Source organism: Homo sapiens, chromosome 12, assembly GCF_000001405.40.
Source record: "Homo sapiens chromosome 12, GRCh38.p14 Primary Assembly".
Classification (NCBI taxonomy): Eukaryota; Metazoa; Chordata; class Mammalia; order Primates; family Hominidae; genus Homo; species Homo sapiens.
This window is the reverse complement of record NC_000012.12, coordinates 58,921,055-58,939,482: the sequence shown is the minus strand read 5'-3', so window position 1 is coordinate 58,939,482 and position 18,428 is coordinate 58,921,055. Positions and strand designations below refer to the sequence as shown.

The following is an 18,428-nucleotide window of genomic DNA, read 5'->3' as shown; positions in this document are numbered from 1 at the left end:
CCTTGATCTTTGACTTCCCAGCCTCCAGAACTGTGAGAAATAAATTTCCTGTTGCTCACAAGCTACCCAATTTATGATATATTATTATAGCAGCCTGAATAGGCTAAAACAAGTTGTTCTGTTATTTTGTTATTATAAGCAAACTGCCATGAACATTCTTGTACATTCCTCTTTGGTGTACATATGCTGGAGTTCCTATATAGTACATGCCAGGATACACTGTACACAAACTAGTTTCAAAGATTATTTCCAAGGTTTATACCAATTTATACTCCCACGTGATTTCTGTTTTCCTCCACATCAGAGATCAGCAAATCTCAGCCATGAACCCAATCAAGTTTGCTGCCTGTTTATGTAAATAAAGGTTTATTGGAAGAAAATTATGTTCATTTGGTGAGTTATTGTGTGCAGCTGCTTTTGTAATACAACAGCACAGTCAAGTAGTTATGAGAAAATTTATGCAAATCCTAAAATAATTACTATCTGGCTCTTTACGGAAAGTTAGCCAGTCTCTGTCCTATATCCATGTAAACACTTGATATTTTCTGACTTTGAAAATCTTTGGCAATTTGGTGCATAATAAAATACCTCATTGTGATTTAACATGTAAATATATTAAATTATATTTTACTTCATTACTAATGATGTTTATCATCTTTTCATATGCTTATGGACTTTTCCGATTTCCTCTTCTGTGAAATGTTTATTCATGCCTTTTGCCAGTTTCTCTATTCGCTTTTGTTAGGTTTTCTCCCCTTTTTAAACCATAGGAGGACTTTGTATATACTAGTTAGCAAACATTTTTCAGTGACATGTGTTGGAAATATTCTTTCCCAGTCCCTGGCTTATCTTTTACTCTCTCTCTCTCTCTCTCTCTCTCTGTGTGTGTGTGTGTGTGTGTGTGTGTGTGTCCTGAAACAGTGTTTTTCTGAACAGAAATAATTAATTAATTAATTAATTAGAGACAGCCTTGTTCTGTTGCCCAGGCTGGAGTGGAGTGGTGCTATCTCAGGTCACTGCAACCTCTGTCTCCTGGGCTCAGGTGATCCTTCCACCTCGGCCTCCGAGGTAGCTGAGACGACAGGTGCCTGCCACCACACCTGGCTAATTGTATTTTTGAGAGAGACAAGGTTTCGCTATGTTGCCCAGGCTGGTCCCAAACTCCTGAGCTCAAGTGATCCACTCATCTCAGCCTCCCAATGTGCTGGGATTACAGACATGAGCCACCGCACCCAGCCCAGAAATACTTAATTTAAATGCATTTAAATATGTTAAGAGATGCTTCTATATCCCAACAACAGGATATACTGAGGTATATTGTCTTTTTAAAGTACATTTCTTAAATATTGCATTTCACATTTAGGTCTTTAATCCAACTGGGATTGATTTTTGAGTGTGAGATGAGATAGGGCTTCAATTTCACTTTTCATCCTCAGGGGTCATCATTTTTTCCAGCGTCATTAATTACATTGTTTTTTTCTTTTCCCACTGATTTGCAATGTCTCTTCTTCCAAAAGCCAAATACCAAATAGGAAAGAATCTCTGTCTAGGTTCTTTATTTGGTCCTAATGTTCTATTTTTTTTGTACTGTGACAACACACTGTCCACTGTCACAATATCTGATTGGTCAAGTGGCACATGGATCATCTCTGTTCATCGATACAAACGGTAGAATTAGTTTGTCCAATTCCATGAAAAACCAGTTGAAATTAATTTGAATTTTTAGACCAAAGTTGAGAGAATTCACTTCCTTATAATGCCTGAGAACATGGTATATAGGTTGTGCATCTCTTATCCAGAATGTTTGGAACCAGAAGCATTTGGAATGTTTTGAATTTTGAGGTATTTGAATATATATAATGAGACATCTTGGGATGAAAACCAAGTCTAAACACGAAATTTATGTACATTTTATATACACCTTATACACATAGATTGAAGTAATTTTATACAATATTTTGAATCATTTTGTGCATGAAACAAAGTTTTGACTACATTTTGACGGCGACCTGTCACATGACATCAGGTGTAAAATTTCTCCACCTGTGGCATTATGTCAGTGGTCAAAGTGTTTAGGATTCTGAAGCACTTCAGATTTTGGATTTTCAATTAGAGATGCTCAACCTGTATATGTCTCTACTTATTTAGGTATTACTTAATATCTTACAATAAAATGTTATAATTTTCTCAATAAAGGACATTAGTGTATTTTAATAGTTCTTTTCTTGTTCATGGTAGTTATTATTGTTATTGTTGATTTAAGAGCTATTAAAAAAAGTTTTTTGGTTTGTTTTATTTGAATTACATTTCCTGATTGTTACAGGCATGTGGATTTACAAATGAATTTTGTATATAGATTTTGTTATCAAATACATTTGCAAAACTCTTTTAAACTGGTTAGAAATTATGATAATGAGCATATCTGTCTTGTTCTGGATTATAAAGAGAATGTTTCCTATATTTCACTCCAAGTATGACATTTATAATATACTTCTGGATATGACCTTTTTCAGATTTGGGAAATTCCCTTTTATTCCTAGCTTGCTAAGATCTTTCTATCATTAATAAATATTGAATTTACCAAACTTTTTTCTGTATTTATTAATATAATTAAGCACTTCTCCTTTAATCTATTAATGCAGTAAATTAAATTAATTAATTTGCTACCAAATTAACCTTGGTTTTCTAGGATAAACAGTCTGGCTCATTAATTCTGAGCATTCTTATATAATTAAAATATTTAAGGCTATGAAATTCATTCCAAAATTTACTTTACTTTCAACCCACAGGTTTTGTAATATATTTTTGTTATTATTTAGTTTTAAATACTTAACATTTCAATTATGATTTCTTTCTTTAAACCTATCAGTTATTTGAAAATGTATTTTTAAGTTTTCAGATATTTGTTTTTTTCTTCCTAGAATTATGCCTAGATTGATTTTTTACTTCCTTGGGTGGTATTTAAGAAATGTGAGCTATATGGTTATCAATGGCTTAATATTTGTTGAGTATATCTTTTATGCCCTAGAACGTAGTCAACTTTGCCTAGAATTATGCCTAGATTGATTTTTTACTTCCTTGGGTGGTATTTAAGAAATGTGAGCTATATGGTTATCAATGGCTTAATATTTGTTGAGTATATCTTTATGTCCTAGAACGCAGTCAACTTTCATAAAGTTTTTCCTGTGTTTGAAAAGAATATTTACACCCCAGTTGTGGAGTATGATGTTCTCTGAATATTACACAGATCAAATTTGTTAATTGTACTGTTCAAATCTTCTGTGGAATTGTTGATTTTTTTCTGCTTGATTTATCAGTTACTGAGAGATGTAGTATAAAATCTCTGGCTATACCCAGAGACTATATTATTAGGTGCATATGAGAATAGCACTATTATATCTTAGCAGTGGTTGAATTCTTTATCTCTAGGAATGCCTCTTAAAGTTTACTTTTTCTGATAATAAAATGACTACATTAACTTTCTTTTGTTTATCAATGAGTGGTAAACAGAGTTTGTCTGTCTTTTGGCTTTAAATCTTTATCCAGAAGTTTTAAGTGTATATCCTGTAAACATAATGCAGCTTGATTTTTGTATTTTATTTGTTTTTAAATCCAATTTGACAACTGTTTTTAACGAGAAAGTTTCGTCTATTTACATTAATAGTGATTACCATTATATTTTGATTATTTCTACACTCATATATGCTTTCCACCTTTTTCTTTTTTTTAAATCAAGAAAATTGAGTTACTGAATCTTCAAAAAAAAAGTAAATGAACTTCTTTTACATAGGTAAGACGCATTGCAGAAAATAATAAAACACAGATTATAAACAAGAATCTTTAAAACACTTCCATATGCATCACTCTGGTGTATACCTATTCATATTTTTATTATTTTTATAGGTTCAATTATATTGGGTATAATGAGATATGTATACATACATAATGTTGAAGTTTTCTGAGGAGGAAAACTATGAAATAATATTTAAGATTTCCTTAGTAGTATAAAACAGATTAGAGGAAAGAGATTAGTGTCACAAAATGTAGAAAAAAAATAAGGCTGCTATAGTTTTCTGAACATAAGATAAAAGCATGATTACAGGTGCGTTTGAGCACTCGGCACCTAGTTGCCCTTGATAAATATGTCACTAAAACTTAAAAGCCAGAAATGCTGCACTAAGTTTGAAAGCAAATCTTCATATCCCTACCATTATTAAGGTAAGACATTGCTTTAAGTTATAATTCAAGCATAGTTTAAAGTCACTGAATCTTAGCTCTTTAATGATATCATAAATCTCAGCTGTGTGAAATAGAAATCAGCCCACTTTTGGAAGATCTTGACAAGTAGTTGGAAGGTGAATTAGTTAATCAAAAGTCTGTTCATTTACATGTCGTCAAATTAAATTGGGGCGATAGTTTCACTGAATTAACCAGTTGTTTAAGTGTTGCATAAATATAGCCTTAGTTTTAAAATTAAGAACTGGCAGAATTTCTTCTTAGAAGGTTGCCAAGTTTGGGGCTATTAAAGGCTATCCCATCCCAAGAACTTTCCACTTGTAGCTGTCAAGGATCTTTTTTCTTAATTAAGCCAAAATAGCTTGATGTCTGAGAGACTTCCTGATTATAAATGAAGTGTCTTTGGAAACCTTTCTATGTCTTCCAGGCCTAGAGACAGATCCACGTGCTCTCAAGATTCATGTACACTCGAGTGGGAAGAGCAGGAGGAGGGAGTGTTGCAAGGAAAGGGAGCACTGGCCAGTGTGTCAGGTGTTGCTGAGTGGGCCTTGCCACAGGAGCAAATATGTCCATTGGGCATTTGTGGCTGTCATAAACAGTTTCCATAAGCTGTCGGGCAGCTTTGTTTCCACACTATTGGGACTTTTTAGAAAGGCACCCAATGTCCTGGCAGAGTTCACCATCTTAGTTCTTAACACCCACACTGATTTGTCCTTTGTTCAACAGCCTAGTTCTTCAGGCTCAGGGATCTACATGTTCTTCTGAAAATGGCCATATATCACTTTCTAGACCTGATACTCAGTATCATGGTCATTTTCCCTCTTTAAGTTTTTCCCTTCTCCCTTTATTCATTTCAACACACACACATACACACACACACACACACACACACACCTCTTGAGCATGTACAATGTTCTAGGCCCTGGACACTTAGCTAGGTTCAGGGAGTATGGTGATAAATAACTTAGAAATAATTTCTGCATTCTCAGTGCTCATAATAGTAGGGACACATAGCAAAGACATTATCCACGTTCACTCTTGATAATCTTTTTATCAACTGTTGTCCCAAATAACCCTTTTCTTCCCCCACATAATCTCAACCCAAGAGTCTCTTTTTTTTTTTTTTTTTTTTTTTTTTTGAGACGGAGTCTTGCTCTGTCGCCCAGGCTGGAGTGCAGTGGCACGATCTCGGCTCACTGAAAGCTCTGCCTCCTGGGCTCACGCCATTCTCCTGCCCCAGCCTCCCAAGTTGCTGGGATTACAGGCGCCTGCCACCAAGCCTGGCTAATTTTTTTTGTATTTTTAGTAGAGATGGGGTTTCACCATGTTAGCCAGGATGGTCTCGATCTCCTGACCTCGTGATCCGCCCACCTCGGCCTCCTAAAGTGCTGGGATTACAGGCGTAAGCCACCCCGCCGGGCCTGAGTCTCTATTTTTTTCAATGACTGGAATAAATACTCCTTTTGCAAAATGTGGCCAAGAAGGACCCAGACAGATGTCTTAGACAAAGACTGTAATCTGTTAAGAGTCATACCACATCAGATTTGGGCAAAAAGGTAAAGGATTCTGGATATAAGAAATAATTTCACTTTCTCCACACTAAATACAGCTGCTTATTTTTAGTTGCCGGTTGTTGTTTTTCTTTTGGGAAACTTTCTCTCTTCAATGAAAATTCCATGGTGACTCATTGAGACCCCCCAAGGAGAGGACTGTGCTCCATGGGACACCTGTGGATAGGGCCACCATGGCAGTTCCCTGGTGGAGTGGGTCTGCTGGGCACACAGCCATCCCCGCAGGCCAGCTTTGACCCAGGTTACAGTAATGCAAACGATTTGCTTTAATCCAACCAAAATAAAAGTAGGCAATCCTAAAGCTCTTTACGAAAAATCTTGTTCTACCTTTGACCCAGGCTATTTTTCTTCAATATTTAAAGCTGAAAGACATCGCGTGCTTATGCTTTTATTTCAAACCAGAAAATCACCTTTATTGTATTTGATCACTCTCTTACTTTAATTTGCAGACTTGCTTATTTACATAGCATATGCTGGACTTTAGCCTAATGTTTAATGGAGATAATAATACAAGAACTTTTTAAAACTTGTTAGCTAGGAAATACATAAAATACTGACCTTGTGGGTAAGTGTCTTTTGCATACATTTTTAAGCATTAGTTGCTTACGAGTTGCAAGAGTGAAGTTTTTAACATGACTCCTGGGAGAATTATACCAGTCTTTATGGAACACATTGCTCACAGCTGTAGTGAAATAGCGATCACTAAAATTCACAGCACTTTTTATTCCACATCAGTGACATCACTGGTGTAATTTAACTATAATTCACATGTGGGAATCAGTTGTCTACAAACTGAAATTCTCCACAAACTGATTCTAAGATGGGGAAGAAACTGTAACATAAAGCTACTGTATGATTTTATTTTGCATTCATCATTAATGTCAGTTTCCAAAACATTTTGGATAATATTATGAGAGGGTATACTTCTCTTCCTATGAAAGCAGATGATATTTTGAAGATACTTTTTAAGGTACTAATAGAAAGACACTGTTCCATGAGACCAAAGGGCTGCTTGGTCTTAGCTTCTCCATTTAGCTTTCCAGCTACACGCTCTACTATTTTTGTTCCATAAAGAAAGACTTTCTGTTTAGAAATGTGACAGTAAGACAGCTTGTGTCTAAAACCTAAGTCAGTGTCCCCTGGTAATCTCATGAGGAATCTGAAATTACAAGGAGACACAACTGGATTGTTTTAGAATATTTAGGTCCTCACTGGAGAAGAGTAAGATAGAAACAAGTAGAGAATTGCCCATTATTAACTCTCTGTTGTTTTATCGCTCATATTGACTTGCTTTAATGATAACTTGAATGTCACCCTGTATCCTTCTGTTGGGCAAAATTAATTTCTGATTACTTTACAGGATGAAATAAATCCCAAATCTTTTTTTAATTAATAAGAAATAGACTGCTCCTTGACTTCCTTCATTCAAACAAGAGAAAATAAACCTTCCCATGGGGAAATATGGTCAAGGAAATAGAATTCAGGACTAGGCTAGAATGGCCACCTGTACGGAGTACATTCTGCTCAAGGGGAATATTTGCAACCAGAAAAACAAAGCTTCTAATATTCATTCATTTAGACCCTCAGCATAGATATGTGAAGCTCTGGTTATGTGTCAGCGCTGGGGATTAGACATTCTATAAGGTTTTGTTGATTACTACAGCATGGCTGGCATTGCTCTGGGCATGGAGTTTCAGTGGTAAACAGGACCAAGTTCCTACCCTGCGGGGCTTATATTCTGGTGGAGGGCATAAACAATACAAAATACAGATATAATTTCAGATAGTGGTAATACAAAGAAGAAAAATAAGTCCCAGAAGGACTAGAGATTGCCTGGAGGCAGGGAGAGGAAGAAAGCTATTTTGAAGATGTGGTTAGGAAAGTTTCGTTGGAAAGCGAAATTTGAAAAGAGGCCTTAAGGAGGCGACAATGAGGCATGAGGCTCTGGCGTTCCAGGTGGAATGAACAGCAAGGGCAACTGGCCTCAGATGATAATAGCCTTGGTATGTGCCAGAAATAAAAGGAAGGGGAGCAAGTGTGGTATTTCCAGGGGGAGATAAGGTTGAGAAAGCAAATGGATCCTGTGGGGCCTGGTAGACCTCAGGCAAACCTCTGGATTTTATTCCAAGTGTGAAAGAAACCATGGGAAGATTCAGAGTGGGAGAGCAGCGGAATCTGGTCCATGCTTAACCAGGAGACATGGGTTGCTTTGTGAAGAAATGATTACAGGATTTGAGACTAGTATCAGAGATGGGGTAAGGGGCTTTCCCATTAATTCTGGTGAAAGACGATGATGGCTGAAACAGGGTGGTGGGAGTGGAGGTGTTGACACTGGTCAGAATCAGTATGTATTTTGAAAGTAGAGCTGACAGAGCTTGCTGAGGTGGGAGGTGGGTTGGAAACTGTGAGAGAAAGAGAGGAGTGAGGAAGATCCGTAAGAATTTGGGTGAGTGGATAAAAAGTGATACTACTAGCTGAGATGGGTATTCAGATCATTAAGACAGGCCCTGGACTCAAGATGCAAGGAATTCACATCACTGGAAATAAACCAACCAACACACACACACACATAAACACACACACACACACCCCTAACAAGTGTTACAATAAAAATATACATAGGAATTTCCTTATCTCTAGATTTTTCATAACTTTCAGTTAAATGATTCTCCTTTTGTCAGTTGCATAAATAGACAAGTGAATGATGTGGCCTGCTGCTATGTGGATATCTGATATTTCTGTGCTGGCTGACTGTACAAATTAGTTTGTACAGCAGCAGATTCTTCATGGTTATTTACCATATAAGTATCTATTCCTTCACATCACAGAAGGTATTCTTGTCCAGTAAATATCCCTCCGCCTTTCTCCAAATTTCCAAACTTGTCCAGGCTATGATGATTACTCAAGATAGAATCAGAGTGTCTTTTTCTGTATTCCTTAAGATTCATCTATATTCTTTGATGGAATAAGATGGAAAAAGAGAAGAGTTTATGCACGTTTAGCATTTCATCACCCATGGAAAGAAAGCATAAGAAGAGCTACATGGTAATAGAACTTGTTCCTCACAATTCCAGAGTAGCAACTTGCAGATTCTCAAATTTTGGAGGGTGTGTTAAACTGCAGATCCCCAGAACCCATCTGTAGAATATCTAATTCAGTAAGTTGGGAAAGAGCCAAATAGTCTTTCTGGTTTTTTATTATTATTATTATTATTATTATTATTATTATTATTATTATTTTAGAGACAGGGTCACTGTCACCCAGGCTGGAGTGCAGTGCCATGATCATGGCTCATCATAACCTCGAATTCCTAGCCTCAAGTGATCCTCCCACCTCGGCAATGCAAAGTGCTGGGATTACGGGCATGAGCCACCATACCTGGCTTGAATAGTTTTTGTGTTTAATAATCCTCCTCCATGTCTGATGCTAGATTTACACTGATCATCCTCGGAGAACCACTATCATCTATAAATTGTTCAATTTTATCTTAGTGTGTTGTGCCTTCTAAACTGCAGACAGAGGAATCATATTCAGGATAAAGTTTCATAATTAAGGAGGATAAAAGATGAAAGATATTTTAAAGATTCTCTGACCTAAACTTTTTTCCTTTAAATATCAGAGTTATAAGAAGCTGACAGCTCTTAATCTCAGATCTAGTCACATATAAAATGCAACTTAAAGATGTAACTATAGTTACCAAATATGGATTGCCTTAGGATATTGAAGCTATTTTTAATGGAGGCAAGAATACTACATTTGAGTGATTTTATAAAAGATGATTTTTAAAAACTTGCCTAGGGCAAAACTTTTAGAAAGAGCTTTAGTGGCTGCTATCAGTATGTTCAAATTATGCATAATTTTGTTTCCACCATTCTTGTCTTAGATCACCAGAACTCAAGTATAATTATTAACATGATGGAGAATACTATCCTCACCTTGAGACATTTGTCATGAACACTATAGAAAAAGATCAAAAGTTATGGTAAAAACATAGTATATTTTCTTGTTTACTTCACAAGCTTATCAATTTAAATGAATAATCACAAACTTCAAGAAAATGTCCATCAACTGTTAATGCTATAGAATCCTTTTCGAACAGACCTACCGACATTTAATGCAATTAATTATTCATGTTTCCGTTAACTTCCTCATATTGTATTTTCATTAGGTGAAATAAATGTTTTATCCAAATTCCTACTGTTAAGATGCCTTGGCTTTAAAAAATATTACCATTACATTAAATAATTTAATATTCTAGGACTAACTGCCCAAATAAGCTTTACTTTTAAGAACATATTTTTTATATATCTGAAAAATTCGATACACTTTTATATGAATTACTTTTGTGCATAGACTGATAAAATCATAATTAGAGCTCTCAATATTGGATGATAATAAAAATTCAAAAATGAATTCACAGCTTTTAACACAAGGAGTATATGTCTCTAGTACTTTCTCTTATCAGAAAATATAGATTTTATCAGAATTCTAGTAGGTGTATTGTGTTACTCATAGCAGAAAGTATTTATCATGTTACTGAATGGCTTAAGTATAAATTAAGACAATGAATATAACTTAAATGAATATAATGACTTTTAGAATTTGTGTTGTGTCTGAATTTGAGGGAAGATTCTAACTCAAGCCTCACTGAGATGACTCAGGTAGTCTCCTAAAGAACGGAAGCCTCTGAGATGTTCCTTTGGCAGTGGACTTGAAGCTCAGCCTCAAAACATAAAAAGCTGAATGGGAAACTAGAATTTAAACTCAGCCAATTTGGGACACTTTTGTTTAAAATTTTTTCCTTATACTGTTCAGAAGTTAGAAAAGCATAAAAATTAGCATTTGCCCATAAACAAAAAGAAAAATTCTGTTACCACATGTGAAGTATCTCAACAGTAAAAACAATCTCTAGCATTAATATTTCATTTCCCTGGACTTGTGGGACCACATGCACCCCATTCATGGTTCCCCTAATTAGGTGCAGCCCTAGACAAAACTGTGAAGAAAGAAAAGCCTGTTTCCCTTTCTGCATCCTTTTCCTCTTCTGATTACCAACCACCTAGGTTCTCCTGTGAGCCAAACTTAGTTTTATAGAACACTGACCATAAAATGTCAATGATACCTTATGTAACACTCCTGGAGGTGAGGGTATATTGATATTGCCAAAGAGGACTTCAGAAAGACAGTAATGTCTGAACCCCATAGTTCATCTCTAATGGTTAGATTCGGAGCACTACTCTGATATCTGGGCAGGACATCAACCTTCACAAATCGGACCCTAAAGTGATTGATTCATACATCTGCATAAAATGAATCTTTTTTGGATCAATGAGGAAAGGAGGAAAAAAAGGAGGGGGAGTGATTGCAACTGACCACCTTCAAAAAACCAGGCAAGGTCCATACTTTCCTTATTGTTTTCAATCTACTGGAAACTCCTTTTTAGCACTAAGGAAGACAGTGAAAATCCTTGCTTCTTCTGACTCTAGTGGAAAGCAGGGTAGCATAGTGGTCAAGGGGTACACTGTGAGGTCAGGTTGACTGAGTTTGTATCCCAACTCCATCACAGGTAAATTCCTTAGCATCTCCATCCCTCTGTTTCCTTATCTGGTAATGTGGGGATAATAACTTAGAAGGTGATTATAAAAAATAAATTAGTTAATAATATCAAATATCTAGAGAATAGTAAGAGTAATAAGAGCTTGATAAATGTCAAATATCATTTGTATAGCTGAAAGGGCCTCATACCTCAATGTCTCCATATTCATTTCTATAAGGCACATAAGCAGAAAGACATCCCTGATACACATAAGAGTGTGAGATAGAAGAACAGTAGTGTTCATGCAAAAGTGTTTAAAATAATTGTAACTATTAGGCCGGGTGCCGTGTCTTATGCCTGTAATCCTAGCACTTTGGGAGGCCAAGGCGAGCAGATCACTTGAGGTCAGGAGTTCAAAACCAGCTTGGCCATCATGGTGAAACCCCGTCTCTACTAAAAATACAAAAAATTAGCTGGCCATGGTGGTGCGTGTCTGTAATCCCTGCTACTCAGGAGGTTGAGGCAGGAGAATCACTTGAACCTGGGAGGCGGAGGTTGCAGTGAGCAGAGATCATGCCACCGCACTCCAGTCTGGGTGACAGAGCGAGACTCCATCTCAAAAAAAGAAAAAAAAAGAATTGTAATTATTTAATTTGCAAAGAGATAGCTAAGGAATATTGCTGGTGACAGCTTCGATTTTGCCCAGGATAAAAATAGATCAAACATATTCAAATGACAAGAGAGCAGAAGTTTATTTATGTGGGCTGTAAAGATGAATGTTCTGACTGAAAAAAAAGTTTTTCAAGTCTGAAATAACTGCTGTGGGAGCAGAAGAGGTTTCCTGCTGTAGTCACAGTTGTGCCTGGGGCAAGCAGATGAGTGAGGTGTTCTTGCAGAGCATCTTCATGCTCCACGTCAGTATTTCAGCGGAAATCTTTCTGCATGGATGTATACACATAGCAGAAGTGTGGAAAGCTTTGGGCTAAATTTTAAGATGTTATCAAGGAAGTATCCGTACTGTCCGTACTGTGACAGGTGCACAGCATCTTGCTGAAACTGACCCCATTCCACCAAAATTATCCCTCACTGTCTATTTGAAAATACATATGTGGAATCATATTGTAACTCGATAGCAATCCTTATATTTAGGGACAGAAGCAGAGCTTTCAGTGCAGGGAACTTGATTCTGACAATGTTTATGACAAAGTCACCTTAATAATTTGATAGTCAGGCCTGGGTAAATGTAATATGTGTAAGAGGATGAAACTATAAATAAAAGCAATAAATAACTCATGTATAAGTGCTCTCATGGTTCTGAAATGCAAATTAATTCTTAGAATAGTGCATAGGCCAACTGTTCATCCAAGAAGTGGGAGAAAAACATTCTGCAAAAAGTTCCCAGGAGGGATATATAAGTCTTTTTAGTAAATATGCCTAATGATTCTTTCTGAACTCATGGCATAAATCATAACAAATTGAGTTATGCAGTAACTTCTTGAGATGGCATAATAAAATTCCTACTAAAAAAAAAAATCTCAGAATATGTACAGTATGCTGTCATAACAGACAGATTTAGAGCCTTGTATTAAGGTTAAAAGTGGTTTAAGTTTTGTTTTCATTTTAAAATTAAATATTATTTTCCTCATTCTATTTTATATTAATAGTTGAAGGTTTACTTAATCCCAACATTCCATTGGAAATTAATCTCAGCAGTGGGATGTTTCCGTAGCGCACTCACTTTGTCTCCCTGAATAATGAAAACAGCAATTTGGAAGTAATAGGAACTAGAATCTATATGGGACGTTATAGTTACAAAATATTGTACTACGGTACAGCAAGGTATCATTTTTCACTGGATTTTACAGGTGAGAAAAATGGAGCATAGAAGTGTGAGGAAATCCAAAGTTACAGCATTTCACCTTCTGACCACCCCGCTTCTTCTCTGACAATTTTTCAAGCATTTAGATTTCTGTATTCCTGACAGGGTAGGCTATTTGACATGAGTTGAGATTCTCAGTGGAGTTTTAGGATTGCAGCTGGCTACAGAAAAAAAAAAGAGAAGAAGAAGAAGCAAGGATTGGAAAAAGAAGAGAAAGTGTTCTGAGGTTCTCAAAGGAATGGGAAAACTGGAGACCACTCAAAGGCTCTACTGCTGGGAAGGACACTCTGCCTTAAGGAGGGTCTGGTGGAAGCTGAAGGCGCCCTCCCCCTTTTCCCATTCCCTACCCCATCTCCAGACTCCCAGCAGCTCCAAAATGATTTCCAGGATATCCAGTGTTGTCTACAGTATGAGTTTTCCTCAGAGCTCACATTATTCCCAGACGGTGACATGGGAAATGAGTAAAATACAAAATAGCATATATTAATTTGCAGTTGAGATAACACTGTTTGTTTTCAATTCAAATAATATCACACAGTTGGCCAACTTGAGAAAAACAGATGGGTGGCTATCTTTATTTTTCTAAATATTTTCTGAAAGTTAAGACATGTTCATAGCAGGGGTTGTGTAAAGTAATCTGCTCTCTAAGTGAAGCTGTGCATTTTGTGTGTTTGTATGTGTGTGTGAGAGAGAGAGAGAGAAAGGAAGGTTATCTATTTCTTCTAAAATGCCTTAATGAATGGGAAAAGATATGGTTAAGTTACAAAGTACAGCAACATTTGCTTTTGGCATCATTATCTGGGGATTTTTGTGCTTTTCTTCCTCCTTTGCCTTATCTCTTTTCCCTTTTCACAGCTCCCACTTACACAAACTGTGTCATTCATTGTAATGATAAAGCAAGTACTGAGTGTTTAGCTTTCATTCTTGTCCTTGGATGTTAAAACTGACAGTTTAGCACCTCTATTACTTTTTATCGGTGAGTCACTGGCCTTGCCAGCACTCAAGATAAGAAAGTCTCACACTTGCCAGAGAAAGAAAAAAGACCAGGAAAACTAAAAAGAGCACTGGGATTGGGTTATGCTCACCACAAAATGGGTGGTAGGAGACCCTTTTGAAAATGGATGAAACTTGCCATTCACTGGGACACAGCTGGAAACGAGAAACTGTCTGGTGTGATCTCAGCAATTTCCAATGGAAAGCTAACTTCCAACTACCTGGTTAACCAGTGTAAACCTCTGAAGGAGTAGAGAAATCCAACATCTTATCTCATTTTATTTCAAATGTTAAAAGACCTCTGGTCAAAATGAATTTGACTTTCTCATACTAAATTCTTATTTGTAAGCCATTATCCACAAAAACTGAGATTCAACATTTGATAGCACTGTGTCCTCTGTGTGTGTGTGTGTGTGTGTGTGTGTGTGTGTATACAAGAAAATGACATCATAAGAGTATCAGAGAATTCAGTGATACATTAATCCTGTTTCTAGGTCACTGTTATTCCCTGATACATTTTGGGAGATTAAACAGAATTTTATGTACCTCTTCTTCCTCTATTACAACTATCTTTGCTGTCACTCTGCCTTCACGCCTATTTTCTATATACTGTAAAGGAATCAGAACAGAGCTGTAAGGGACCTCAAAAGATATTAGTTCTCATCTGCCCAGATGGATACCCAGTGGAAGTTCTCTCTGCCCTGTGGTTCATGAAAGGTTTGAGAAGCCTGTGAAAATATTACATTGATGTAAAGTTTCAGCCAGGCAGGTGGCTCATGCCTGTAATTCCAGCACTTTGGGATGCCGAAACGAGTAGATGGATTTCTTGAGCCCAGGAGTTCGAGACCAGACTGGACAACATGGTTAAACGCCATCTCTCTCTCTCTATATATATATATATCTATATATACATATATTAAAAATACAAAAATTAGACTGGTATGGTGGCATGCGCCTGTGGTCCCAGCTATTCAGGAGGCTGAAGTGGGAGGATCGCCTGAGCCCAGGAAGTTGAGGCTGCAGTGAGCCAATATCCCGCCACTGCATTTCAGCCTAGGTGACAGAGTGAGACCCTGTCTCAAAAAAATAAAAATAAAAAAATTAAGTTTTCATGTAGGACTAGTTCCCCTTTGTATTGACCACATGGTTAAGCACATATCGAAATGTAGAACAGTGATTTTTAATGTGCGCTGTATTCTTTCCATGTCATCCTCTTTTACTCTCTCAATGATCCCATTAAGTTCTGAGTAAGCTTAAGCCACACCCATAAAACGTCCTCTGTTGATTAATTCCCAAATACAATTAAAGTGGAACAAGATCTTACTTGCAAAGTAACCTTTCCAAAAAAATCTCCTAGATATTTGTAATCTCCTCCTCCCATATTTACAACTGTCTTATCTTCATCTAATTGGATAGCATTGTTTTATCGATTACCTTTAAAGAATCTTTCCCAACCTTCAAATTCATTATCATAGAAATAAAGGTATTTTCTTGTTGCACTTGTATTTGGTTTACACAATATTGTGTAACATTAATAATATATATAAACAAGTCTGTAACTACTGTGGATCAGCACCTGACAGGTAGGAGCAAATATGCAAAGGCTGTTCTAAGGAGAGGCTGGTAGTTTCTAGATTTCAGCTGGTCATAGGCATCAGTCAGGTTGTACAGAGAGAACAGAGTGACTGCTAATCCAGTAACTGATAAATGGAAGCCAGCCAGATAAGATCGTTTTTTATTGTATTCCCAATTTACAGACTGAGAAACTGGGGTACTGAAAACTTAGGTAATTTAACTTCACAATAGCTGGTAAAACCCTTAAAGGCGATAAGGAATACATGGTTATCGGAAAATTCTGTAGTATTACCTGGGGGTTAGAGTGAAAATGGTCTATTACATTCCAGTCAATACTGATGTGCTGGAAGTATACTGGAGGTATAGATAGTTAAACCTGACTCAGGGAAGTGTTTGCCAAAGAAGGAATGCCATCAACCAGGCAGAAGAAGGAGCAGAGAATGATTTGGACAGAAGAACCATTTGCAAGAGGGCTGAAGGCAAGAGTACAGCTGGGAAGAGAATTGCAAGTAGCTCCTAGAGTAGGAGAAAAATGATGAAAGACAATGAATTAAAGAGATAAATAGAGGCTCAATGCCAAAACAAACAAACAAAACTGTATAAGTCACTCTAAAGAATTTGAACCTTATTCTCAAGACACTAGGAACCCAAGAAAAGAACTGGTCAGTTGAGTCACAGGCTCAGATTTGACCTTCAGAGATATCACTTAACTGCCCTGAGGAGAAAGCAGTGGAATGCCTGATAGGTGGCAAGAGCTGCTGGTGGTCTGGATTTGCATAATTTCTACAGAGAGAAGATACATTTAGGAGCTAGCTTTAACATGACTTGCTAATTGATTGACTCTGGTGGTGGTGGTGGTGGTGGTGAGAATGAAGTAATGTTAAGGTGACTTTCAGGTTTCTGGGGCATTCATCTGGATGGAGGGAAGTATCCACTCTTTAAGACAGTGAATTCAGGAGGAAACAAGTCAGTTTCAAGGGTGGTGAAATTTAATTCTAGACATGTTACATTTGAACATCCAATTTTTAATGACCTGTGGGTAATTGCACATATGGATTTCGAGTTTAGGAAAAAGACCTGGGCTGAAATATGGATGTTGTATATGTCAGCATGTAAATGTAAATGGAATTCATGGAAGAAGATGAAATTATACAAGGAGAATAAAGAATGAGAAAAGGAAATGAGCCAAAACTCCCCAAAATGGTAGCACATTTATATCCCTGTCATATGTCTCATGTCTCAAGAGCAAGCCTCCATACTGATGTTACCTTGCTTATGCATAATGGCATGTGTACAATGGAATCTTTCTTCTTTTTAAAAACTTCAATGAATTATACCTAATTTTCCTTGTATGAAATAGATGGGGGGCCGGGTGTGGTGGCTCACGCCTGTAATCCCAACACTTTGGGAGGCCAAAGCGGGCGGATAGCCTGAGGTCAGGAGTTAGAAACCAGCTTGGCCAACATGGTGAAACCCTGTCTCCACTAAAAATACAAAAAAATTAGCCGGGTGTGGTGGTGGGCACCTGTAATCCCAGCTACTTGGGAGGCTGAAGCAGGATAATTGCTTGAACCCAGGGGGTAGAGGTTGCAGCGAGCCGACATCGCATCACTGCACCCCACTCCAGCCTGGGTGACAGACTGGAGTGTCTCCATCTCAAAAATAAAAAAATAAAAAAAATAAATAAAAATAGATGGGGGATACTGAGCTGGAAAATCCTTACTATGACTGTAGTGTGTTTTGTCTACTCCCAAGCAGACAAAATCATAAATTCAAAACCAAGGTGCCATCATTATAGATATTTTCTAATTATAATTATACATCATCCAAAAAGGTAGTAGCGTTGTTGTTAATGGTAGCTGGAAATAAGAAAATGGGATACCATATCTAAAATAGGGTGTGTTAACTTCAAAGTGAGTCTTTTCCTTCCCCCGTAAGTGGGAGTGATTTGCTACAGTGAAAAATCAATGGGCCTTAGAGTCAGGGTTAAAGTCTCAACTCCACAAGCTATCTCCACTCCTCAATCATGAGCAGTTTACGCAACTCCAAGGACAGACAAGCTTGGGCAGACAGCATGCAATAAACAATGTATAGAAGTGAAAACTTACTTTAAGCTTCCAGGGTTTGTTTTTTGGTTTGTTCATGTTTTCTGTCTTGCTTTTATTTTTATTTTTTTTGCAACAAACACATTAGTTACGTTCTCTAGGTCTATTTCCTTACCCAGAGGAGGAAGGCCCCTTAGCACATGATCTCTGCGGTCTCCATTAGTTTCAACATCTTGTGGCGCTGATCACCTGTAAGTTAAGGAACAAACTTCACTGGGAAGTCCTGTAGCCTGAATCCAGCCCCAAACATCCACTCCCCCAGCTGAGGAGGCCGGGAGGTACTTTTACCCTGGTAGCATTCTCAATCAACATGTGTCATTACTCAAAGCGCAAGTGGACCAAGGTGCATATACTAATTTTTTCCTCCAAGGTCTTAGTTTTCATTTTACTTTGAAATGTCACTGTGACTACTTTTATTATTACTATTACCAGGAATCTATGATTGCCATCGAGGTCTATTAGAAGGTCATCTCCCATCCCCCACCCCGCCCAGCTTTATCCAGTGCACGAAGGCTGGCTATTTGTAATTCAAT

At 37.2% G+C, this 18,428-nt stretch overlaps 1 long non-coding RNA gene across 1 annotated transcript in view, besides 3 other annotated features; it reads right to left on the bottom strand.

Annotated features, from left to right (window-relative positions):
* Nucleotides 1–18,428, bottom strand: part of LRIG3-DT (LRIG3 divergent transcript) — a 210,172-nt gene that overhangs the window by 191,393 nt on the left and 351 nt on the right. The window contains exon 2 of the long non-coding RNA NR_183518.1: nt 18,011–18,084. This is a non-coding gene — a long non-coding RNA (LRIG3 divergent transcript). The remainder of the gene's footprint in view (nt 1–18,010; nt 18,085–18,428) is intronic.
* Nucleotides 5,450–5,950: an enhancer, noted in NCBI's record as "H3K4me1 hESC enhancer chr12:59327314-59327814 (GRCh37/hg19 assembly coordinates)". NCBI's record gives its function as "activates a minimal SCP1, AML or CMV promoter by ChIP-STARR-seq in primed H9 embryonic stem cells {active_cell/tissue: H9 hESC(primed)}" and the evidence as "EXISTENCE:reporter gene assay evidence [ECO:0000049][PMID:30033119]".
* Nucleotides 13,815–14,439: an enhancer, noted in NCBI's record as "NANOG hESC enhancer chr12:59318825-59319449 (GRCh37/hg19 assembly coordinates)". NCBI's record gives its function as "activates a minimal SCP1, AML or CMV promoter by ChIP-STARR-seq in primed H9 embryonic stem cells {active_cell/tissue: H9 hESC(primed)}" and the evidence as "EXISTENCE:reporter gene assay evidence [ECO:0000049][PMID:30033119]".
* Nucleotides 18,095–18,204: a silencer, noted in NCBI's record as "silent region_4602". NCBI's record gives its function as "represses an Ori minimal core promoter by ATAC-STARR-seq in GM12878 lymphoblastoid cells {active_cell/tissue: GM12878}" and the evidence as "EXISTENCE:reporter gene assay evidence [ECO:0000049][PMID:35858748]".